The following is a 24,997-nucleotide window of genomic DNA, read 5'->3' on the forward strand; positions in this document are numbered from 1 at the left end:
ATAACCAGGTCTATTCTGAGATTCTCTTCAAAGTTACCTATCAGAGTTCACTCTCTTATTTGGAAGAGATAATATACCCTTTGAGCTCTGATTATTTAATTCACTGAAGTCTTCACTCTAAAGAGCCAATCCTGATGTTCTCTCTTCATTTTGCTCATTTCTCCCTAGCAGCCATGTTTACCACTCACTCATGAGAAGAAGAAGAAAATAAGGAAACCCCCTCAGCTTGCCTCTGCAGATTTGGGGGTATAAAGGAAAATTCTCAGGATTTTGCTGACTTTGCGGTACAGTTTCAAGGGCTGATTAGAAACTAGTGTTTTGCTTACTTCTGCTCTCTGCTGTTTCACTGTTTCTTTTTTTTTTTTGATTGCCAATATTTGAAGTTTATTGCCTAGATTATCTCTCTTTCCTTGTTTGGTTGTTGTTATTGTAGATTTTGACTCTTTTCTCTCCCTGCACTCACCCTTTTTTTTTTTCTTCCCATCTTACTCCTGAAGTCCAGGCCTAGGGGTTTTTTGCATTGCTGCAATTAAACCATATCTCTATTATTTTGATCTTCAGCACGTGTGAGGGATCAGAAGAAGGATAGAGTCTGATTCCCAGGCTCTTCTAATATTTAGACTTTTATAAAATAACTAATCAGCACTGGTATTGTCTTTTTCCCTCTCCCACTCTGTCTCCCCCACTCCTCCCTTAGCTTCTTACTTCTCTCTCTGGATGAGCTGCTTCTAGTGAAGAAAGAGTTCACTGTTCAGAGGTGGGAAGCCAGAAGATAAAACCAAATGGCTGGGCAGTCTTTAGGTTATTCCTAGCTAAGAGTTAAGAGTTGTAAGCTCTCTCATTCTTTGTTCTTCAGCCTTAAACTATCTTTCCTTCTATTAACTTTATTTGTCTCAGTTACAATGATAGAGGTAACTTCACATACTAAAAGAAATTAGGTTACCATGTGAAACATTCTTCTTGGCTTGTGCTAATGTTATCAGATCCAAACAGCATCTGAAAGAAAATTTTCCAAGTAGATGTTGTTCTCTTGTTTTCTGAAATACATATCATATGTTAAAGTGAGAGTTTTTATACATGTTGAAAGAAGTTGAATGACATAACAAATAGTTACTGAGGCCTCCATTTTCTTACTTCACAGTTAAAATTCCTGTTTCTCTTTGGGTATAGGAGGTAGAAAGAAGTGGGAGAGTAATAGCATTTTAAAACACAGAATCAAAAATACATATTAAAAGTAGAACTTAGGCCCAGGCACAGTGACTCACGCCTGTAGTCCCAGCACCATGGGAGGCTGAGGCAAGTGGATCGCTCGAGCCCAGGAATTCGAGACCAGCCTGGGCAACTAGGTGAAACCCTGTCTCTACAAAAAATACAAAAGTTAGCCAGGCATGGTGGGGTGTGCCTGTAGTCCCAGCTACTTTGGGGGATGAGGTGGGAGGATCTCTTAGGCCTGGGAGGTGGAGATTGCAGTGAGCCGAGATCACGCCATGGCACTCCAGTCTAGGTGAAAGATTGAGACCCCATCTCAAAAAAAAACAAAAAAGAAAAAAGTAGAATTTAGGTATTCCTACTTTTACAGTCAAAAGTCCACTGGTGTTTGCATAACAATGATGTTTTGACTAGTTATTGGACTAAAAGTAGGACACATGAAGCAGGTGACTAGGAATTTGGAAATATTATTGCTTAGGTCATTACTGGACCTTACGAAGAGATTGTTGCACTGGTGACTTGGACTTTGCTGGTCCCTCCCCGACTCTTCACAGCTGGCTTGACGACTCTTGTGACATTCTGAGGTTTTATGCTAAACCACAGGACATGCTGCTGATTTGCAGAGCTGACCTCAGCTGTAAGCACTTTGTCTTCTGCAGCGTAGAAATGTAGTGACCTACAAGTGTCCCATGCCCAAGTTGGGTGCATTATTTTTTGGTGATGGTCACATGTTTCATAAAGACTTCCTGAGTCAAAAAATGACTTTTCTCAGTTCATCTTCCATATAACTCCTGGCCACAGGGATTTTGTATCCAATGGTATTTTTGTTCTATGTGTGGATATTATTTTAGCAAAGTTCAGTGGTCACTTTCTCTGATTCCATCTTGTATTAAGCTACACTAAATATGAAAACGTAGAAAGTTTTACTTCTTATCAACAGATGCTAATGTATGACATTGAGTGAAACACTTTAATTCCTCAAGGGCTCAGTTTTCTCACCTGTAAATTGAAAAAACCTTTCAAAGATTGTATGAATCTTCAGAGATGGTAAGTCTAAGAAGTTGTCCAACTAGTTTAGTATTGTGGCTTTTTGTTTGTTTTGGAATGATTCATTCTCATATATTATTTTTTAAAAAAATAGCCAGGTGGCTATGACATGCCTGTGTTGGTCAAGGTTTACTGAGAGTCAAGTCAGGCATTAAGAAATGTGAAGGCCAGGTGCAGTGGCTCACACCTGTAATCCCAGCTCTTTGGGAGGCTGAGGTGGGCAGATCACTTGAGGCCAGGAGCTTGAGACCAGCCTGGCCAACATGGTGAAACCCCGTCTCTGCTAAAAATACAAAAATTAGGTGGGCATGGTGGTGGGCGCCTGTAATCCGAGCTACTCGGGTAACTATGGCAGGAGAATCGCTTGAACCAGGAGGCAAAGGCTGCAGTGAGCCGAGATCATGCCATGGCACTCCAGCCTGGGCAACAGAGTGAGACTCTGTCTCAAAAAAAAAAAAAAAATGGATTGAGGGTTTGTTAGGTGTCAGCCACTATGTCAGGTGCTAGGAATTTGTCATGAACAGACTGGTCCCTACTTTCATGAATTTATAGTCCAGTGAGGGAAATAAGATGAATAAAAAGACCCCTACGTCTTTTTGTTTGAACTCTGGTAAAGAAATGTGTTTATCAGAGGGGCTAGGCCAAACTTTAGGAAAACATTTCACTTCACTTAAAAAAAATTAGGATTTTTGTTTTATTTCAGATAAGGCAACAAACTTCCATCAAGTAGAAACTTCTGCTTTTCTCTGTCTTTCAAACTTGTCAAAATCAGCAGTTTACTTTGTTAAATCTGAATGTCTCTTTTTAGTGTATTGCACAGTTTACTAGAATTGTAATCACAATTTCACATTCTTTAACAGGTATTGAAAATTTAAATTAAAATTCTGATATTTTTGAATGGCATAAAATGCCCTATCTTATCTGAAAATTGAAAAATTAATACAGAAATGTAAATGGATTGTGAATAGGTGGGATCTGGCCAAGTGTGCATTTGTCTAGGCAGTGCTGAGTTTCTGCTCATTATTTAGTAGCTTTCATTCTTCACCTGAGCCAAAATTAGGCTTAGCCAATAAAGCCAAATTTTCCTTCTGGAAGACATGGCAGTGTCTGCCTTGCAGCATGCATCCAAGACCTTATCTGTTTCTGTATCAAACATTGTCAAGATCAGGGCATGAAGAGCCGGGGCATTCCTGACTCCCCCAACAGATGGCATCTCTTCTTTATTATAGGTGACTTCTGGGGGAACAGAAAGCATACTGATGGCCTGCAAAGCATATCGGGATCTGGCCTTTGAGAAGGGGATCAAAACTCCAGAAATGTATGTATGTGTGGCTGTTTTGTCCCCTTTTGGATTTGTCTGTCTGGAGTACAGCTTTATGAAACTAAAGCAGATAATCCATTTTCCTGCTGCTTCTCTTCCTCTGGTAATTCTGGTCCCCTTTCCCCCTGTCCTAGCCCCTCTGCCCTTATCCTTTTACATTCAGTAAAATTCTAAATGGATCAGCCAGTTATTTTTAAAGATCATTCCCATCCCGCCCCACCCCCAGATCATGCATAGTATATACTACAAGCAAAAATAAGATCCTTTTTCCAAAAGTGAGAGTTTGAGGACTACATCTTTGAATCCTGTGATATTTGCAAATTATTTGGAGCCTAAAGAAACCTCTCTAGGTACTTTAGTTCTGCTTACCTTAGAAAGTTACTTAATATTATAGGCTGCCTCAGGGTACTCTCTGGGAAAACTTTAGTGTGAGGGCTGTTTTCTGGGAGGAAGAATAAAAATATCTTTTTGAGATTTACCCACATTGCCTTCCTTGGACATAAATTTGATGTTTAGTTACATTATTTTTTCCTAGACTGTCCCCTTGTACAGTATGTTTATCCTACATCTTAATATTTTTACTGCAAGTATTACTTGACAATGGGGATTTATTGCATATGGTCTCATGCTGTGGTTCATATGTAGCATAAGAGAATAAACCAGGCTGCCATTCTTTCTTCATATGTCGATCTTTGGTGCTTGGTACTTCCTCAGTAGTAGAGATTTTTCTCCTTAGAGGGAACAGATTCGTTGTATGAATGGAGTAGTTGAGGAAAGTCTAAAGCAAATACCCGTGACCTCATTTTCTCTTTCAACACTATTTGAAATACTATTTCCAAATGTGTAGGAGAAATGGGGATTTTAGTTTCTTCAGGTTTGTTGTCTTTCAGAGTTGGAAGGGGCCACTGAGCTGATGCTTGGCCGCTGTGTGAACATTTCTGCTTGAACATGTGTTGTGCCGGGAAGCCTTCTTCTCATTCTCACTGAGGTGCCTGTCTTTGGTAGGCAACCGTTAGCCAGCTCTGCCTTGTGTTGCTCTCATCCAAAGTCTCTGTCCCCCAGCTTTCCGCCTGCCAGCCTAGCTTTATGCTTTGGATCCCTCACTGTGGGATCACTTCTGAGTCCTCTTCCTATTGCCAGAATGATTTCCTAAATAGGAGGGAAGTTTCTGCAGAAAATCAGTTGGCCTCTTTTTGGGTGTGCTTAAAAAGAAAAGTAGAGCAGTCTAAACACTTAAATTTTTAATTTGGGGAAAAATAATCAGAACTTACTCCCGGTAATTTAGATTAGCTGCTAATGGTGTTTTCTATTATTTTGGCCTGAGTTACATTATTCTCCTCTTCCCTGTCATTTAGTGTGGCTCCCCAAAGTGCCCATGCTGCATTTAACAAAGCAGCCAGTTACTTTGGGATGAAGATTGTGCGGGTCCCATTGACGAAGATGATGGAGGTGGATGTGCGGGTGAGTCCCTCTGGAGGGCCCACTGTCTGTGCTGGGCCCTGACAGCAGAAGGGCCCTCCTGTTGACTAGCCGTTTCCAGTCAGATGGGTCTGACTGCCTTTGATTGTGGCAGCCAGAATATGAAAAACTGCATTGATAGTGGTGATTGACTGCAGCTTCAGTCTTTTCATAGGTTCATGAATTCTGAAAGGGAGGTGATCTAGTCACTAACTTGGGACTTGAGAGACACTGGTTTTGCGGTCAGCGCCATCACTTTTTCTTTCTTTTCTCTATTTGTAAAATGAACATGGACTCACTTCCCCTAAGACTCTTACCATGGCCCGGGCATGGTGGCTCACATCTGTAATCCCAGCACTTTGGGAAGCCGAGGAGGGAGGATTACTTGAACCCTTGAGCCCAGGAGTTTGCGACCAGTCTGAGCAACATAGTGAGACCCCATCTCTACACAAAATTTAAAAAAGTAGCTGGACATGGTGGCATGCACCTGTAGTCCTAGCTACTCGGGAGGCTGGGGTGGGAGGATCACTTGAGCCCCAGGAGGTTGATGCTGCAGTGAGCTGTGTTCACACCACTGTACTCCAGCTTGGGTGACAGAGCAAGACCCTGTCTCAAAAAAAAAAAAAAGACTCTCACTGTGGTTTAGATTGGCTTAAATTAATACCATTGTCATTATGATAGTGATTATTTTTATGCCTCACATTTGTGTAGAGGAGTTTTCTAGTTTCAGTGTTCTGTCAGAATCCCATTTGAGCTTTATGACATTCCAGAGAGGTTGATGAAGCTGTTATATTATTGTAGTTCACAGATAAGGAACAGACTGAAGTAGCATACTCAGGGTTTCACTGCTGGTACGTTGTGGGGCTGGGGCTCACATTTGGCTCTTTGGCCTCTTAGCTCAATATTATTTTCGCCCCCACAGCGATTCTGTTCTTATTTTGTGCTCTCAGACTATTCTCCAAATGGACTTACCTGGAGTCACCTGTGTCCTGTCACCGTGGTGGGATGCAGTCTTCTCCCAGTTGGAGTGGTGAAGGAGGGGGTACTGGTGGAACTGGAACTCTAAGCTAGCAGCCCAAATTGCTCTTGGCAGCAGAAGAGAAGAGTAATTGTGACATAGATTCTCATTTTCCTTTAAACTTTAAATCCCTAGGCAATGAGAAGAGCTATCTCCAGGAACACTGCCATGCTCGTCTGTTCTACCCCACAGTTTCCTCATGGTGTAATAGATCCTGTCCCTGAAGTGGCCAAGGTATATGAGAGAAATGGGCTGCTAAGGCAGGCAAATGGATATTTTAAAACAAAGCCTAATGGGGCAGTACTTGGCAAATAGAAGCGATTTTTTTTTTGTTTTTGACCACAGTAGTGATAAGTAGCTCTCATCAGCCCTAGGGGAAGCCCTGCAGCTCAGTTGCAAGCCTTTAAAAGTTGCTAGTCTCTGCTGTGGGGGAAGATAGTACAAGGCTGAGGCCTTTTAAACTGGAAATTCTGAAATAGGATTGCCTTCTAGATTGAGATCTGGAAATAATCTGCATGTAGGAATGTGCCCACCAAAAGGGTGATATTCCACATGCTGCCCCTCAGCGCCTCCCTTTCCCTCACGCCTCATCCTGCAGTGACTGAGGCAGGACCTTTCCCTTGTGCGAGAGGCAGCCTAAATCAGAGCTCTACTCATTTCCTGCTTGATACCGCAGAGCGTTTGAGGTCATGCATATTTAAATATAAAATTGATACCATATTTCAGATGAATTATTTTGAAGGGAAAATACATTTGAAAGATAAATTTTGTTGGGAATGTTAAAAATAGCCATTTTTTAAAAACATGGGAGGCATAATACAAAATAGCCTTGTGTTTATAGCCCATCTTTCCACCCATGTCTTGCAGTTTTTATTATAGGGCTATAAAGGAAATTCTCTTATGTTCTTTGTTTTTTGGAACAAGCTGGCTGTCAAATACAAAATACCCCTTCATGTCGACGCTTGTCTGGGAGGCTTCCTCATCGTCTTTATGGAGAAAGCAGGATACCCACTGGAGCACCCATTTGATTTCCGGGTGAAAGGTGTAACCAGCATTTCAGCTGACACCCATAAGGTGAGCTAAGGAGGAGATCAAGTGTTACCAGTTGATTATTTTGACTATTATTGATAAAATAAATTGGTAGCTTCCCCGCAAAGTATAAAATTAACTATAGAATTCTCATCAGATGCTTGTTTTAAACTCTCTCTTTGCCGTCACCAGATCAGCTGGTTCAGGTGATGGGGTATAGTGGTAGAGGTGACAAGCAGTAGTGAAAATGAACCTGTTACCTTTATCTCAAATTGGCTAAGAGAATTTCTGTATCCACTGACTGTGTGTAACTAGAACATGCTAGTGTAGTGGCCCTTGTTAAAAAAGCTCCCTGAAGCCTTGAGCTGATTTGAGGTGGAGGGTAGAGGAGTGTGAGGGTTGGTAGTGGAGTTCCCATGCTGGTAGATAACATTAGAGCTGCTGTGCAACTGGGCTCCTGAGCGTACATGACGGGAAAATGTTGACGGAAGAGTCCTTTGGAAAATGGGAAGAACCTGTGTGCTCAGGAACATTCAGCATTTGAGATGGCCACGCCTGCCACCCTTGGTGGACTGAGACAAAGTCTAGATCAGTTGATAACGCTATTGAATATACATCCAGATGTGGAAGAAGTATTAGCAGCCTCAGGAATGTGTACCTTGTTTTGATTGCATTTTCAGAGCTTGTTTTAAACTCAAGTATATTAAAGACTTGTTTTTCAAAATCGGTGTGATCTGCAGCCGATTTTCAGTCAGCATCTGTTTTTTCCTTACCATCCAGATAGCTCCTGTGTCCTTTTCCCATAACCATCCATTTCTGGATGGTTCAGGTAATGAAATTAGTTCCACGTTAGTTTTAATAAGAGTTAATTAGGGGGTCAGATGTTCTATAAGGAAACCAGTTACATAGTTAATTTTAAAGCTGGATTAAGTAGCTTTTAGTTTCTGAGCACCATTATGTTCTCATAAGCATAATATTCTTAGTAATACTAAGCAAAAAAAGATGGGAAGGGGGTCAGATGGTGATTTTAACTTGAAGTGACAAATTCCATCCTTTCCTGGCTTCCATTGCAAACTTACCCTTGCTTTCATCCTGACATATGGTCTCCAGAGAAATATTTTAAATAAGGTAAACCACATGCTGGGCAAGAGAGGGAGTAAACCGATTAACTGGGCGCTGTTCTTCCCTGGGTCTCAGATTCCTCATTCCTAACAGAGAGAATTTAAACTCCATCCCTTAAGTTCCTACTATCCTTTAGCATTTTAAGTTTGAATCCTTAATGTGAGTGGGAAACATAACAGAGAAACTGAGAAATAAATAGGATTTCCTTTGCATGATGAGAGTTCTGGGACAAGGTCTGCCAGACAGAACTATACTCTCACTTTTCTTGTCTGCTACTTCTTCCACAGTATGGCTATGCCCCAAAAGGCTCATCATTGGTGTTGTATAGTGACAAGAAGTACAGGAACTATCAGTTCTTCGTCGATACAGATTGGCAGGGTGGCATCTATGCTTCCCCAACCATCGCAGGCTCACGGCCTGGTGGCATTAGCGCAGCCTGTTGGGCTGCCTTGATGCACTTCGGTGAGAACGGCTATGTTGAAGCTACCAAACAGATCATCAAAACTGCTCGCTTCCTCAAGTCAGAGTATGTGTGGAAGACTGGGGTTCTGCCTTGTCTATTGCTTTTTTGTCCTAGTAGGCTCAAGGCACCTGCCTGGCTAAGTATCCATAGCCCTAGCCCACCTGTTGTCTCCTGCGATATAGAGGGCTTAGGGCAGCAGCTTAGGGCTTAGGCCAGACCAGCTGGCCTGGGAGAAGAAGCTCCCTTTCTCTGCCCTGACTTTTGGAGGGTCTTTGAGACGGGGGCCTCATTTGTAGTTTATCTCATCTCTATGGATGTCTTAATAACTGGCAGCTCTTACCCTAAGGCTAATGTACAATTTAATGGTTAGGACAGTGATTCCCAAACTTGAGCATGCATTCTAATCACCTGAAGGACTTGTTAAAACACAGGTAGCTGGGCCCACCCCTAGAGTTTCTGATTCAGTGGAACTGGGATGGGCTCTAAAAATTTCCATTTCTGGAGATACTGATGCTACTGCTCCAGGAATCATACTTGAAGAATCATTGGAATAAGAAAATAATTGGAAATGGGCCAGAAGGAATGAGGAAAGGAGGGCAATGAAATCTTGGGTTAAGCCAAGGCCAGAACAGGCTGCATGCTTTGTCTAATGTATCTGTTAACATCTTATCTGCCCATCTCTCTATGTGTCACTTGGATTGGGGAGGCTCTTTAAGTATATTGAGGGGGAAGGAAAGCTGCCTGCAGGCATTTCTCATTTGAGAAAGATCCTTGGCCAGGCACGGTGGCTCCGGCCTGTAATCCCAGCACTTTGGGAGGCCAAGGCAAAAGGATCGCTTCAGCTCAGGAATTAAAGACCAACCGGAGCAACATAGTGAGACATTATCTCTACAACAAATTTAAAAATTAGCCATGAGGCCGGGCGCGGTGACTCATCCCTGTAATCCCAGCACTTTGGGAGGCTGAGGCGGGTGGATCACCTGAGGTCCAGAGTTCAAGACCAGCCTGACCAACAGGGAGAACCCCGTCTCTACTAAAAATACAAAATTAGCCGGGCGTGGTGGCGCATGCCTGTAATCCCAGCTACTCAGGAGGCTGAGGCAGGAGAATTGCTTGAACCCGGGAGGCAGAGGTTGCGGTGAGTTGAGATGGCACCATTGCACTCAAGCCTGGGCAACAAGAACGAAACTCCATCTCAAAAATAAAAAATAAATAAAAATAAAAATTAGCCACATGTGGTGGTGTGCACCTTTGGTCCCAGCTACACAGGAGGCTTAAGGCAAGAGGACTGCTTGAACAGCCCAGGAATTTGAGGTTACAGTGAGCTATGATCACACCACTGCACTCTAGCCTGGGTGACAGAGCAAGACCCTGTCTCAAATAAATAAGCAAACAAATAAATAAAAATTAGATATATATAAAAGGTCCTCCTATAGCTCTGATAGGGCCATTTATTAAGACCTGCTATACCATTTCTTGCTTTAGGGATTACATATGACTTTTTAGAACTGTGGAGATGGGCAGATTACTTTTCCAGAAATTTTTTTAGTACATCTTTCATGCCTCAGAAGCATCTAGGGGAATATAATTGGGAGTTGGGTAGACAGGTTCGAAGTCAGTGATTGAGTCATTAGATCTAGATGGGGTTTGGGCCTTGGAATTCCATTTTTATTGTTCCATCTATGATTCTGATCTCAGTAAGAACCACTGATCCAGTGTAGCCCTCTTCTTTTTTGAAGATGAGAAGACTAAAGCCCAAAGGGTTAGATTGCATTCATTATAAGGAAGACTTTGAATGATTAAAGAGATAGTGACCAGGGGATTGTATGTGACTGAATTTACTTTTTCTTCCTTCATTTATTTTTTTGTTTTAAGACTGGAAAATATCAAAGGCATCTTTGTTTTTGGGAATCCCCAATTGTCAGTCATTGCTCTGGGATCCCGTGATTTTGACATCTACCGACTATCAAACCTGATGACTGCTAAGGGGTGGAACTTGAACCAGTTGCAGTTCCCACCCAGGTAAGCTTGAAGAAGCCTCTTTCCCTTATTTTGCTCCATGATTTTGGAAGAACTTGGGTGGTACAGTAACCTGAAGTATAGAGTTTGACTGCTAGAGGCTAGCACGTTAGTAGCAACTGTAGTATATAAAGGATTTCTCTCTTGCCACCTGGAATTATTAGATACAAAGAACAAGACCATTAGCTTTAAACTCTGGCAGAATTAGGTGACAGCCTCCTAGACCAGTGGTTGGTCATGAGGTTTTTCTCTCAGTCTCTAGCCTTTCTACTCTCCAATCCATCTTGTACACAGCCATCAAATTGCTCTTATAAAATACTTGTTACCTGGCTAATATTTAGTTCAAGATCTTCCTGGGGGTCTCTAATCATTCAGGCCTGCTACTGCCTTCTTTATTAGACTTTTCTAACCTAATCTTCCATGATGCCTTTGAGTAAATGCACCACTCCAACTGAGTACAGGTCTGTTCATGTCCTCTGTGTACAGCTTAGCCTTCCACACGTTGGTGCATTGCCAGTCCCATCTGGACTATCTTTTTCCCTCTTCACAATTCCAGTAAACCCCACTAAATTCCTCCAGGGCGAGGTAGAATTTCTTCTGTGCCCTGAAGTCCTTTAAGACCCCAGCCATGTGGCCCTGTCCCCATGAGAGCACATGGGGGCTGATTATCTAAGATAAAAGTGTCTCATTGATGGTGACGTGGTTGAAGGAATGGTGGTGGAATTTGTGAGGGGATGGGTGGGACAAAGCAGCCAACACTGTTCATCCTCTTAGCATGGTTCTCAGTCATGCCGAGAAGCTCTGAGGCCAGCCCATGCCTGACACCCCAAGCATGAGAGAGCCGAGATTCCCAGGACTAGGAACAACTTGGATGACTACACTTGTCAGAAATATTGTGAAAGGGCAACCAGGAAATTCCCGTATTTGGGGCTGCATCATTTTAGAACATTTTTTCTTTCTTCAAGGTTCATCTCTCTCTGTCTCTTCTTTCCTAGTATTCATTTCTGCATCACATTACTACACGCCCGGAAACGAGTAGCTATACAATTCCTAAAGGACATTCGAGAATCTGTCACTCAAATCATGAAGAATCCTAAAGCGAAGACCACAGGAATGGTAGGGACACTTGGAGTTTTTTTTCTTCTCTTGGAAATTTAGGTGTTGGTGGAGAGTTTGAAGGAATCATATGACCCGGAGTCTGTTCCTGCCTCTGCCCCTTTGCCACAGACATCTTTTATTTGTTGACTGGAGCTGATGATCTCTGCATCACCCACCCCTTAGGGTTGCTGAAGTCTCAAATGAGATACACTATAAAGTACCTTGTAAGTTAGAGACTTCTGTATAAAAGCAGCTGGTGGTAGTGTCCATTTGAAAAGAAAATTTTGTCACAGGAAAGATAGTAAACATGTTTTTTCTGGAATTTTCTTAGGCTAGTCCCTTTATGCAGAAAGGCAGACTGGAAAGTCCCTGTGAAAAATTGACTATGCCAGCTGTTTTTCTGATAGAATGATGGGATGCCTTAGGTGGAAATGGGGTAGGGCAGTGCACATGCGAAGCTAGGACTCGGGGAGAAGGGGCTCATTGCTGCAGTTTTATTCTTGCTTTTGGACCTGGCCTCACTAATAATGTCTCTTTCTTTGGATTTGTAGGGTGCCATCTATGGCATGGCCCAGACAACTGTTGACAGGAATATGGTTGCAGAATTGTCCTCAGTCTTCTTGGACAGCTTGTACAGCACCGACACTGTCACCCAGGGCAGCCAGATGAATGGTTCTCCAAAACCCCACTGAACTTGGACCCTTTCTAGTCTCAAGGGGATTCCAGCCTTCAGAAGGTTCTTGGGATATGGAACAGGCCGTGCACAACTTTGACATCTGGTCTTGCTCCATAGAGCACAACTCAAGATAGACCATGAGACAGCTTGAGCCTCAGGATTCTTGTTCTTCCTCTTATCTTCCTTTTGTGGTTTTTAATTTGAAGACCCCAGAGAATTCCATTACATAATGATTTTGCCCTTGTTATAAATGTTACCCTAGGAATTGTTTTAACCATTTCCTTTTCTAAACTCTCTAGCTTTCAACTTTACTTAAACATTGTGTGGTAGCTCTGACCTGTCCTGATTCTTTAGAGAAGCTGGGGTACAGTTTATGAGATAGCTAGAGCTTCTTTGTTATCTCAGGCAGGAGGCGTTTACATAACAGATGTTTCCTCAGCTGGGTGTGAGGTATACTCTAAGCAGGAGGCTTTTTCAGCCTTCTCTCTCTTTTTTTTTTTTTTTTTTTTTTTTGAGATGGAATTTTGCTCTTTTGCCCAGTCTGGAGTGCAGTGGCATGATCTCAGCTCACTGCAACCTCCACCCACTGGGTTCAAGCGATTCTTCTGCCTCAGCCTCCCGAGTAGCTGGGATTACCGGCACCCACCACCACGCCTGGCTAATTTTTCAATTTTCTTTTTCAGTAGAGACGGGTTCACCGTGTTGGCCAGGCTGGTCTTGAACTCCTGACCTCAGGTGATACCCGCCCCCCCGCCTCAGCCTCCCAAAGTGCTGGGATTACAGGCGTGAGCCACCGTGCCTGGCCCTGTCTCTCTTAAGAGTAGGTTCATTGTCTGTCTTAGAGTCACTTCTATTGCAACTCATTTTCTTTTTCCAGGGCACAGATCGACCAAGCTGCCGTTCCCTATTCTGCAGGACAGGACTATTCTAGCATACCTGCTTCGTCCACCCAGGCAGGGTTTGGGGTGGTCTCTTCTGTGCCTGCAGTCCCCATTTGACACTTGGTTGCCACCATCTTTGGAGATTATTGTTTGGAATGATGCTTCCATTGGCTTTTTCTTGTTACCATGGACTAGGAAGAAAACATGGTTTCCAAATAATCTGGGAGCTTTTGGCCATGGTGCCGCCTTCCTGAATTGGCAGTGGTCAGAGCACACCTGAACCCTATCCTGGGCTGGTGATGAGCAGAAATCAGACCTTTTTCTATGCTTTTTTGAATATCAGAGTAGGATGAACACCCAGATTCAAATATGTCACCAAAGTTGGTGGTGGTCCTTCCCTGCACCCTTGCGTTAAGCCATTATGTAATGAAAATGTGTTTGCTTGAAGGAACAGCTCAAAGCACCTTCACAAGTTGCCTTGACTTACCCTAGGTGGGTGTGAAAGAGCACCCGTAGCAAGGAAAATTTTCTCTATTAGTGTGTTCTTCTGCCTCTTCCCCCTTGATTCAGCTTTCAGAGGTACTATGGCAGTTTTGCCTCAGGTGCTGAACATTTCTCAGCCCTGGCTAAAAGGGAGCAGCACAGGGAGAGAAACAGGATAGGAAAGCAGAATGGCGAGCAGCCTATGGCCCAGGGCCTGTAATCCCTTCCCAAGACTAGCTGCTCAGGGTGGTGCAGGGACAGGACCAGACCCTGCGCCTATTTCCTGCCTTCTTTCCCCTATAGGGAACTCTGTAGGCTGAGCCACTGTCCTGCTCTTATGACATTATATCTTGTGCCTTTCTCCTCAGCAGTGAGCAGTGAGCTACTCCTGGCCCAGGCCCTAGGGGAAATGGATCAGTCTTTGAGGTTTCTATTTGGGGAGGGGAGTACTTAAGATGAGTCAAAAGACACTTTCCTCTGTTCCATTCCCCATCTCAGGGACTCCTGAATATTCAGCCTCTCCAGGCTGGTGTCTTCTAGTTTCCCCCACTGGGAATGCTGGCTGGGAGAGCCATGACTACCAGACTTTTCCTCAGGCTCCTTGGCATGTTAGTCTGAATTGTTCTTGAGCACTGTACTACTGACCCAACAACTGTGACTAGCTGGCCACGCCATTCAGGGCTGGTGTGGCATTTATGTGTGTGTGTGTGTGTGTGTGTGTTTTTCCTGTTTGCCCAGCAGTGCATTGTGGGTTCCAAGAGTGGGTAGTGTGTGTATGTGTGTGTGTCAGAGGGAGACCTGGCAGGCACCTCTTTGAGAGTAGCTGTGGTCAGAGCTGTTTGGTCAGTGCATTATGTTGAATGAGGTCCAGGAACCCAGAGCCACCCAGCAGACACCACTGTGGCTTGCCAGCTGCCAAGATGGAGAAGCATGTGCCCCTGTAGAGCGTCTCCCCAGAACCAGACCCCGAGCCACTCGCTTCCTCTGTGCTGTGACAACATTGGTGCCAGGGGAGATGGTGTTTTTCAAAGGGACCTACTGTAGCCACTTTAATTTACAATTAAGAGCCTTAGTTTGACTTAACACTTTTGTAGGCTTTTCATTGTGTATTTTTGTGTATGTGTGCATATAGCAGCTACTCTGTAGCAGAGGTGGGTAGAGACACTTAATAGTATCATGTCGCATGCAGATGTCACATCGGCCTCTGCAAAAACTGTACTGTCTTGTTTCTGCATTAGACTTAAGTAGTCATGTGAATATACTGCTATGTCACTTTTAATATTACGAGTTTTATACTTGGAAAATGGTACTTGCTTCTTTTAAATCTCTGTCTTCTCTAACCTCCCCCTTCCCATTTCAATGCTCCCTTCCTAATTTCAGCAATAATCTCAAAAAGCAATTAAATAGTTAAATGACCCTAATTGTAATTACTGTGGATGGTTGCATTCATTTGATTACTTGGGCACACACGAGATGACAAATGGGGCAGTGGCCATGCTTGAATGGGCTCCTGGTGAGAGATTGCCCCCTGGTGGTGAAACAATCGTGTGTGCCCACTGATACCAAGACCAATGAAAGAGACACAGTTAAGCAGCAATCCATCTCATTTCCAGGCACTTCAATAGGTCGCTGATTGGTCCTTGCACCAGCAGTGGTAGTCGTACCTATTTCAGAGAGGTCTGAAATTCAGGTTCTTAGTTTGCCAGGGACAGGCCCTATCTTATATTTTTTTCCATCTTCATCATCCACTTCTGCTTACAGTTTGCTGCTTACAATAACTTAATGATGGATTGAGTTATCTGGGTGGTCTCTAGCCATCTGGGCAGTGTGGTTCTGTCTAACCAAAGGGCATTGGCCTCAAACCCTGCATTTGGTTTAGGGGCTAACAGAGCTCCTCAGATAATCTTCACACACATGTAACTGCTGGAGATCTTATTCTATTATGAATAAGAAACGAGAAGTTTTTCCAAAGTGTTAGTCAGGATCTGAAGGCTGTCATTCAGATAACCCAGCTTTTCCTTTTGGCTTTTAGCCCATTCAGACTTTGCCAGAGTCAAGCCAAGGATTGCTTTTTTGCTACAGTTTTCTGCCAAATGGCCTAGTTCCTGAGTACCTGGAAACCAGAGAGAAAGAGGATCCAGGATGTACTTGGATGAGGAGGCCTGGCTTATCTAGGAAGTCGTGTCTGGGGTGCTTATTGCTGCTCCATACAGCTGTACGTCAGCCCCTTGGCCTTCTCTGTAGGTTCTTGGCAGCAATGAGCAGCTTTCACTCAGTGACACAAGTAATTACTGAGTCCTAATTTGATAGCCACCAACTGTACCTGGGTAGGCAAAGTCAGATTTTTGAGAACCTTTTTCCTGATTTGAAGTTTTAATTACCTTATTTTCTTTTATGCTTTCCTCTGTCTTGTAATCTTTTCTCTTCTTAATATCCTTCCCTATAATTTCAATTATTTGGATTAATTTTAGAATAAACCTATTTATTTCTAAAAAAAAAAAGAAAAGAAAGTGTTACCTGTGTCTTTGTCTCACATGAATGTGCTTCATACAACTGTAGTGCTGCCAAGGTTGGCTTTATTTTTTGGAGACAAGGTTTCACTGTCACCCAGGCTAGAGGGCAATGGCATGATCATCACTCACTGTAGCCTTGACTTCCTGGGCTCAAGTGATCCTCCCACCTCAGCCTCCCGAGTAGCTGGGACCACAGGTGTGTGCCACCATGCCTGGCTAATTTTTCTGTATATTCTGTAGAGACAGAGTTTCTCTACATTGCCCAGCCTAGTCTCTAACTCCTGAGCTCAAATGATCCTCCCGCCTTGGCCTCCCAAAGTGTTGGAAATACAGGCATGAGCTGTCCCTGCATCGGGTGAACATTTTTCAACCCTTGACCCATGAAAATAAGCAGAGGCAGGAATGTAACATAACAGCATAGTCCATACCTCCGCATCTGGCGTCTTCTGTCCTTCAGTCCTCCAGTCATCAGATCAAAGCACACTTGGAAAATTTTAAGTCAGAAGTGGAGCAGATGGGAGACCACTGTCTGAATCTCGTTTGCCATCAATATAGGTATTGATAATCCTTTACTAGCATATATGCTAGGAACGGGGTCCTGCTAATCCCTCTTGTGAACAATACGCTTATTTCTCAACCTCCAGCCTCTGCCCCTTTCCTGGCCTTTGCTGGGGGACCAACTCATTCAGACTGAGTTGTGACATGGCTAGATTCCTGTTCCAAGTGACCCCGGCATTTACAAGTCAGCTTAGTACTTGAGTTAGGAGACACAGGTGAGAACTATTAGGAAGAAGGCTTCCCAGTCTCTGCATAGTGACATATGTGAGGTAAAATTTGTGTGGCATTCTCGTGGGGGTAGAGATGAGGCTGCTCTTAGTGCCCCCTTCTTCATGACAGCGTGGGAATATTCTGTCCTAGAGAGTTCCTGGCTGGGGAACTGACTGTGCAAACCATCTCTTAACTGCTCCAGTAATAAATAGCCTGCCAGGTCCTAAGCTGCCTGTGTCTTCTCTCTTGTGGAGTAAACCAGGCAAGCCCTAAGAACTTTGCTAAGATTTTAAGAAACTGAAGAGACCATCAGGATTTGGGATCTGCCATATCTGATATGATAGGCCTGTGTATTATGATTCTCCAGAGAAACAGAACCAATACACACAAAGAGATTTCTTATAAGGAATTGGCTCATGTGATTATGGAGGCTGACAAGTCCCAAGATCTGTAGTTGGCAAGCTGGAGAACCAGGAAAGCAGATGGTATTGTTGCACACCGGAGGCTTGTAGCCTTGAGACCTAAGGAGAGTGGATGTTTCAGTTTAAGTCCGAAAGCAGGAAAAGACCAATGTCCCACCTCAAGGCAGTCAGGCAGGAGGACTTCCCTTTTATTTGGAAGAGGGTCAGCCCTTTTTAGCCCTTTTTTTCTGTACAGGCCTTCACCTGGTTGAATGAGGCCACCCATGTTAGGGAAGACAGTCGGCTTTACTCAGTCTACTGATTCAAATGTTATCCTCATTCAGAAACACCCTCACAGACACACCCGGAATGTTTGACCAAATGCCTGGGCACCCCATGGCCCAATCAAGTTGACACCTAACATTAGCCATCACAGCCAGGAAGAAAATATAGGTTGAGTATCCCTTATCTGAAAGGTGTGAGACCAGAAGTGTTTCAGATTTTGGATTTTGGAATATTTGCATTATACTGACAAGTTGAGCATCTCTAATCTGAAAATCAGAAATCTAAAATGATCCAATGAGTATTTCCTTTGGGCATCATGTTGGCATTCAAAAAGTTTCAGATTTTGGATTTCCAATTTTCAAATTAGGGATGTTCAACCTGTAATATGGCCCCAGACTGCCTTTCTAGACATAGGTTCCACAATGCATATAATACCTGTGCCCTTCACACCCTTATCTGTGTTCATGGTGTTCTCTCAGCCATCTCTGCCTCCCAAGAATCCTACCCAGGTCTTCAAGGCATAACTCAAAGCCTCCAGATTTGCCCTTTTCACCATTAATCACTTGCGTTCCCTTTAGCTCATTTCTTATCCTGCCACCTAGCATTAATTCACTCTAGTAATAGTTAATTAGTACTAGTTAATTGGTAATTGGTAATAGTTAATTGTGTTCCTGTTTGATGATAATCAAATGGTATCCCCTAGATGATAATGAATCTGAAGGCAAGGTGGTCTGGTCCCTGTCATTTTCCAGTACCTTGAACAGAGGAAGTGCCTAGCACAGAGGAAGTGCTTTCATTTAAATGCCTATTGACTCCAATTTGGATTGACCTGTGGAAAAGAAGTTTCTAGAGCCTGAGACCAAGTGATATAATAGTTTTATTTGAGACATAAAAACACATGTGTTTCTATTACATAGTGTGGGGTTTAGGGTCCTGGTTTCTAAGACAAGACTTTATTTCACCCTGTATCACAGCTTCCTGGGAAATGAATTAGGGAGCAAGAGACGGCCTGGCAAGAAAATCATTATTGTTGCTGGGAAGTTGCAAAGAAAGGGGAGAGTTTATTCAAATTAGTGTAACAGAGCCCCCAGGATGAAGAGAGTGGTGCAGGGAAAAGGTCTAAATTCCTGGTGTTGGTGGGGACACTGGCACATCCCACAGCAAGGACTCAGCCCTCAACGGCGGCGGCTGGGTCTTGGGAGGGGAGTGGTGGGAGGGTAAGGGCTCCTCAGCTCCCTCCCTGGACTCCCAGTTCAGTCACCCCTTCCCCCGGAAGAATTCAAAGAGGAAGGGCAGGGTCTATGTCATGGACACTGCTACTTGTTCGATGAAGCTGGCCAGGTTTATGTCCCGTTCTGAAAGGCCGGCACACTCATGGGTGCTCAGCGTGATGTGGACCTGAAATGAAACCAGAAATTCTGCTTCCACTGACTTCACTTAAGAACAGGAGGGAGTCACTAGCTGCTGGGCTCAGCCCTGCTAGGAGCTCCAGAATAGCAGCTGGCCAGTACGATCTCTCCTGGGGACTCCTTCCTGACATGTCTGTAACAACATCTTCTACATCTCCCCTTTGCTGTCTCTCAAAAATAATCATGACTTCAGCTATAGAATAAAAGCTTAATATCTGAATGTCAAGAGCAACCTAAAAGCTAAAGACAAAACCAAAAACCAATGCCAACTCCTAAACACTATCCATTCATAGACGACCTCTTCCACCCTTACTGTTTTTATAAACAGAGACCAGCAGAGCTTTTGGCACATGGTAGACATTTAATGACTGTTTCTATTCATTAAGCAAATAATTTGATAGGTTGGCTATGTGTCTGTATTTTTTTTTTTTTTTTTTTTTGAGACGGAGTCTTGCTCTGTCTCCCAGGCTGGAGTGCAGTGGCTCAATCTCTGCTCACTGCAAGCTCCGCCTCCCGGGTTCCCACCATTCTCCTGCCTCAGCCTCCCCAGTAGCTGGGACTACAGGCGTCCACCACCGCGCCCGCCTAATTTTTTTGTGTTTTTAGTAGAGACAGGGTTTCACCATGTTAGCCAGGAGGGTCTTGATCTCCTGACCTCGTGATCTGCCCACCTCGGCCTCCCAAATATGTGTGTATTCTTAGTTCAAGTTTATTACTTTTTCATTCTTCCATACCTCCAGCAAGATTAAAGCCATTTAGAGCTATGAACACTGAATAAGTATGCCTGATTCCCACAGCCTTTCCTTTCTTGGGTTTTGCCTTCTTAATGTCTACTTAAATGTCTACTTTAACCACAACTATCTCATGCATCTTTTAATTTGCATTTCTTTATAGTAAGACTGATTTTTTTTTCCCAGGGGTATTTATGTTGATTCTAGGCATGTGCAATCTCAGTGAGATTGGAAATGAGATGAGTGGATGACCTATGGGTCAGGAAGGCTCATTGTTAAGTCCAAAAGCCTTCAGAATGTGTCAGAGTTCGCAGTATTTGGATGGGGGCAGAGCACAACAGAGGCACACAGCATCACTCACCTTGTTGTACACGTTAAACCATTCAGGATGGTGGTCCAGTTTCTCAGCCTGCAGGGCCACTCTTGTCATGAACCCAAAGGCCTATTTAAGTGGAGTGAGAGCCAGGTTAGTGTTCTAAGAGAAAGGACTTCTGGACATCACCAATTCAAGGCCTAGACGCAGGAGGATGAATTAGCTTCCCCCCAGGAGACTCCTCTATAATCATTTCCCCCTTGACATCCTGTCACTGGTTCTCAGGCTTGAGTTAGAGATTGTCCTTGCAGTAGGAAGAAAGTCTTGCTATTTAGGATGTCAACAAGGTGGAAACACCACAACAGGCTTTTGGCCTGGCCAGTCTTGGCCGTCTGTTCAAATGTCTTCAGATGTGCATGGTTTCCACTTGAACTATCTCCTCAGAAGACTGCTGCTAAAAGTTCCAGGAAGGGAGAGCCCAAGACACATCCTCCTATGGCTCTCCAATCCCCAAAGATGATACTTTCTGAGTTAGACAGGAAAATTAATTTCCCCACTGGCACAGTGCCCAAATAACTGGATGAGTGTGGTGTCTGAGAGTCTTGGCTAACAAGACGTGAAGGGAGAGAACATGCTTTGTAAGGTGACCCCATCAGCCCGTCTCAGAAAACTCTGTCCCACCCTGGTGCCATACCCTGTTGAAGTCTTTGAAATGAAACTGCTTGAAGATGGCATCACGGCCTTCCAGCTCATTCCACCCCACAGCCCTCAGGTTTGGCAGCAGCTGGTCCCTCTCCTCAGCGCTCAGCCTGTGTGCTTTGCCAGCCTAGAAGAGGGAAAAAAACAGAGGCCCAAGGGCATTTCTCTTTATAGGTCAAAACAGAGGGGCTCCAACCTTTAGGGGAACTTAGCTTCCACTGGCTGCTTTGGACGTGGGTGACCAAAGGGCAGCAGGTCTTTGAGCAATAGGCTGGGAGGCCTCAAGGGTGGCACCCTGCCCAGGAGGTGGGGTCCAGGCTCGTCTGCCGATAGGCCCTCAGGTCTTGGGTTTTAACACTCCACACACACACAAGGGAAATCACAAAAGCAATGTAATTCATATGACGGGGACAGAGAAGCACTCTTCCCCCACCCTGCCCTCAAAGCCTTACGGACCTTCCCTCCATGAGATTATTACATCAGTGAGGGCGTAAAAGCAAAATAAATCCCAGATGCAAATATGTTACTCCACAACCTCTCAGGAAGAGTACCCATGACTCTCCCCCCTTCCTTTTCCTATTATGTACTTCATCATATGCACCCCACGTCCCTACCGTAACTTTCACGTGTATTGAAGAGGAAACAGGCCTAGAGAGGGGAAACGACTTGTCTGCTGTTCTTTCCCGCCCACCCCTAGCCAGTGATGGCGCAGTGTTGTCTGTGTGTCAGCATTGCTGGGGCTGGACGAAGGAGCTACATTTAAAATAAGTGTCCATCCCATTCTTAGCCACACTGCAGCTGACCGCCGTTGGCACTACCTCTAGTAGGTCCTCAGTCATGCTCCCAGGCAGCCTCTGGTCCTGAGCCGCCAGGGCTAGGTTTCTCTGGTTTTCCGTCTGCTTTTCTGGCTGGTTGGGAAGCTCAGGCCAAAGTGGAAGGAACTTGGCCAAAGGCAGCTGGCAAACCTAGTGCCCCATCCTATTTACCTAATGTGCGAAGTGCCCTCAAGGCAGCCCAAATTGGCACAATTCAGGCCATGAGTGGAACCTCAGAGAAAGCAAGGAAGCAAGGGTCAGTTTCATCCTAGGAGGATCCAGGTCTAGGAGCTTAACAGATCCCAGAACCTAGGCTTCTAGAGTAGCACCACCCCAGGGCAGAAATAGAGTGCTGAATTGAAAAGATACCCTTAGGGGTGGGGAGGGAATGTGAGGGAGGTTGATTTAGCTTTTATGAGGCAGCCTGCAGACTGGACACCATGTGTTGATTGGCAGGAGTTTTGAGACCCGCTTTCACCATTTACCAGCCAGGTGGCTGTACCTCTCTTGGCAGAACCTCCACCTCCACAGATCATCATGAGGTGCCAATGGGACACTTTAGGAAACTCCACTGCTATAAAGCAAATGTCATCTGCATTACAAAAAAAAAACTTCCTAAGGCAAGCAGGCTTGTGATGGGCCTGGTAGCATTTGGGGTAGCTGAAGCATCGCAGTGCTTTCCTAAGTCCGTCTTTTTTCCCTGCTGTTTTCCCTCCTGAAAACGTGAGCTCTCTCTGGACTGATGTAGCTTGGCCCCTCTCTTCCCCTCGGCTCTGGATGACTATAGGGATTGAATGGCAGCAGCGATTTGCATCATCTGCCCAGTAGGTAGGTCTCTACTCCAGAGCTGGCCTTCTCCCCGTGGCTGACCGCCTGGTCCGTGTATCTAGACAACCAGAAGTCAGCCAAAGCATCAGAGCCCACTGTTTACTTCCTTGGCTCTTAAAGGGGTGGGTGAGTCCAGGTGAGCTCTTAGGAGGCTTCCCTTTCTCGGTAGAGCCTTCTGGAACCCCCCAGGTCGCACAGCCTGCGGCTGAACTGACAAACCTTCCAGGTGCCGGCTCTGGAGACAGAGAGGGGGACGCTGCCCCGTTTGCCTCCTCTGGCGAGGTGTGGGGAGTGGTTACCGATTTCCCAAGCCTGCATCTCTGGGACCTCAGCGCCCCTCACAAACAGCCCCACTCATCCTCCCTCCCCCAAGTCCCTCTCCTATCAAAAGGCCCTCCCAGTCTTGCCTGCTCCGAAGGCCTGTGGACCAGAAATGGTCTGATGAAGCTCGCGAGCTTACAGCAGAGCAAGGGCCCCGCCCCCGCCCCCGCCCCGGGGGTGGGTGGGGGAAGCTCACGGGAGGAGGGCTGCTCCAGCGCCACCAAGCCCCCGTGGCCTGGCACGGGCCTCAAGCCGGCGCGGGGAGTGGCTCTGGGGCCAGCATACCGGCGCAGAGCGTGAGTCCCAGGCAGACCCCGTACCCAGAGTGCCAGCGGGAAGGGGCAGCGGACAGGCACGCACACGAGCGCGCAAACTCAGCCTCCCTCTCGCTCCCACCCCAGTATAAAGCAGAATCGGGCCACCAAGGGGACGAGATCCGTGGACTCCTCCACGACTGTCTTCCCCGGCCCAGGAAGGTCGTAGGCCCCGCCCCCGGAAGGGTCCCGGAACAAGCACTGGCCGGGGTCAGGGCAGGCCTGGCCTCCCAACTGGGTGGGATTCGAACCCGCCACCGCCCCTCTCAGGGCTTCAGCTTCCCCTCCCCGCCGCCAGCGACAGAGAGCCGGGCAGAGACCCCACTTTCGGACCCCGGCGGCTCCGCAGGGGACTCGAAAAGACTTTCCCCCGCCCCTTCCCGCTCCCACCTCGCCCGCGGCTGCCCCGGCCCCGCTGCCCCGATCGCGGCCGCGCACCCCTGGACTCACCATGGCGCGGGCGGCAGCAGGTGGCCAGCGGAGAGGGCAGGCGGCGGCCGGGCGCGCAGGCTGCCGTCCCGGGGCGGGGCCGCGCTCGGGCCGCCCTCCGGTAATGATTAACGTCCCCAGCCAGGGACGCGCTCGGCCTGCTTGCTTCCAGCACTTTCCTCGCTGCTCAGAGCCATCCTCCGTGCTTGTTTCAGGGAGCTAGGGTGAAGCATGAGGGCTCCAAATGCCCGCTTCTGGGTTGGAATCCCACCCCGCCGCTTACAGCTGGGTGGCCCTGGGCGCCAGAATACCTATTTTTTTCTTTATAAAAATCTCTTATTTGGATATAATTGACATGCAATAAATTGCACATATTCAACGTGTACAATTTGATAAATTTTAATGTTTCCCTCGTGAGACCATCACCGAGATCAACATTATGAACATATCATCATCCCTGCAAGTTTTCCCTTGCCCTTTGGTAACCCCTTCCTCCCGAAACCACCTGGCCAGGCAAGCACTGATGTACTTTAGGTCACTATAAATTAGTTTGCATTTTCTAGAATTTTATGTAAATGGACCATAGAGTATATACTAGGCAGGATAACTGTTTTGGGGTTCAGCCATGTTGTTGCCTATATCAATGGTTTCTTCCTTTTATGGCTAAGTAAAATTTATTTTATAGTATTGCATTGTACAGATAGACTACAATTTGTTTAGCGATTCACTATTGGACATTTGCGTTGTTTACCTTTTGGCTATTACAAATAAAGCTGCTGCGAATATGGTGCACAAATCTTCGAAAGTACGTATGTTTTAATTTTCCTTGAGTAAACACTTAGGAATGGAATGCCTGGGTCATGTGGTAGGTGGACTTTTATAACTTATTAGGAAACTGCCATACTGTTTTGCAAAATGGTTGTATCATTTTATATTCCTAGCAGCAGTGTATGAAGGTTGCAGTTCTCTGTCCTCACCAACACTTGATATAGTCAGCCTTTTAAATTTTAATTGGTGTGTAGCAGTATCTCATTGTGGTTTTGAGTTTCCTTGATTAGTAATTGTATTGAATGTCTTTTCATGTACTTATTTGCTAAGGATAAGTTTTTTTTATTGAATAGCATGTTTGAATTTCCTGCCCATTAAAAAAGAAATTGGGTTGTCTTCTTATCGAGTTTTGAGGGTGTTTTATTCTGGATATAAGGACATGATCAGGCAGTGATTTGCAAATATTTTCTTTGCATTATCTTATGGTGCCTTTCAAAGAGCAAACGTTCTTAATTTTGATGAAATCCAATATATCAAATGTTTCTTTTATGGATTTCTATTTTGATGTTGTACACATAG

The 24,997-nt window shown here is 45.1% G+C and overlaps 2 protein-coding genes across 11 annotated transcripts in view, besides 2 other annotated features; one reads left to right on the top strand and one right to left on the bottom strand.

Moving 5' to 3' along the window:
- The window catches only part of SGPL1 (sphingosine-1-phosphate lyase 1), a 65,237-nt gene extending 48,912 nt beyond the window's left edge, over positions 1-16,325 (top strand). For 7 of the 8 annotated variants that reach the window (NM_001438357.2, NM_001438353.1, NM_001438355.1 and 4 more), the window contains 8 exons: positions 3,486-3,574; positions 4,933-5,038; positions 6,189-6,287; positions 6,978-7,127; positions 8,492-8,730; positions 10,543-10,689; positions 11,682-11,802; positions 12,336-16,325. In NM_001438357.2, coding sequence (NP_001425286.1) covers positions 3,486-3,574; positions 4,933-5,038; positions 6,189-6,287; positions 6,978-7,127; positions 8,492-8,730; positions 10,543-10,689; positions 11,682-11,802; positions 12,336-12,476 — 1,092 coding nt within the window. In that variant the 3' untranslated portion in view covers positions 12,477-16,325. The remainder of the gene's footprint in view (positions 1-3,485; positions 3,575-4,932; positions 5,039-6,188; positions 6,288-6,977; positions 7,128-8,491; positions 8,731-10,542; positions 10,690-11,681; positions 11,803-12,335) is intronic. The other variant, NR_199385.1, reaches the window with a different exon arrangement.
- Positions 17,421-23,706, bottom strand: PCBD1 (pterin-4 alpha-carbinolamine dehydratase 1). 3 transcript variants are annotated; one of them, NM_001323004.2, is made up of 4 exons: positions 23,672-23,706; positions 20,939-21,070; positions 20,293-20,373; positions 17,421-17,626 (listed from the first exon to the last, which is right to left on the bottom strand). In NM_001323004.2, exons 1-4 carry the CDS (start codon positions 23,672-23,674, stop codon positions 17,528-17,530), a joined length of 315 nt encoding a protein of 104 aa, NP_001309933.1. In that variant the 5' UTR covers positions 23,675-23,706; the 3' UTR covers positions 17,421-17,527. The 3 variants fall into 3 exon arrangements, with proteins under 3 accessions (NP_001309933.1, NP_000272.1, NP_001276726.1); NM_000281.4 differs by lacking the exon at positions 17,421-17,626 and adding an exon at positions 18,651-19,189; NM_001289797.2 differs by lacking the exons at positions 17,421-17,626; positions 23,672-23,706 and adding exons at positions 18,651-19,189; positions 22,994-23,022.
- Positions 22,963-23,242: a silencer, noted in NCBI's record as "silent region_2454". NCBI's record gives its function as "represses an Ori minimal core promoter by ATAC-STARR-seq in GM12878 lymphoblastoid cells {active_cell/tissue: GM12878}" and the evidence as "EXISTENCE:reporter gene assay evidence [ECO:0000049][PMID:35858748]".
- Positions 23,573-23,822: a silencer, noted in NCBI's record as "silent region_2455". NCBI's record gives its function as "represses an Ori minimal core promoter by ATAC-STARR-seq in GM12878 lymphoblastoid cells {active_cell/tissue: GM12878}" and the evidence as "EXISTENCE:reporter gene assay evidence [ECO:0000049][PMID:35858748]".

Source organism: Homo sapiens, chromosome 10 (genome assembly GCF_000001405.40).
Source record: "Homo sapiens chromosome 10, GRCh38.p14 Primary Assembly".
NCBI classification, from domain to species: Eukaryota; Metazoa; Chordata; class Mammalia; order Primates; family Hominidae; genus Homo; species Homo sapiens.

Coding starts and splice junctions, on each gene's coding strand:
- PCBD1 (NM_001323004.2), bottom strand. Junction 20,374..20,938: donor ATTTCAAAGACTTCAACAGG/GTATGGCACCAG, acceptor CCACTTAAATAG/GCCTTTGGGTTCATGACAAG. Junction 17,627..20,292: donor GGTTTAACGTGTACAACAAG/GTGAGTGATGCT, acceptor CACTCTCCTTAG/GTCTCAAGGCTACAAGCCTC.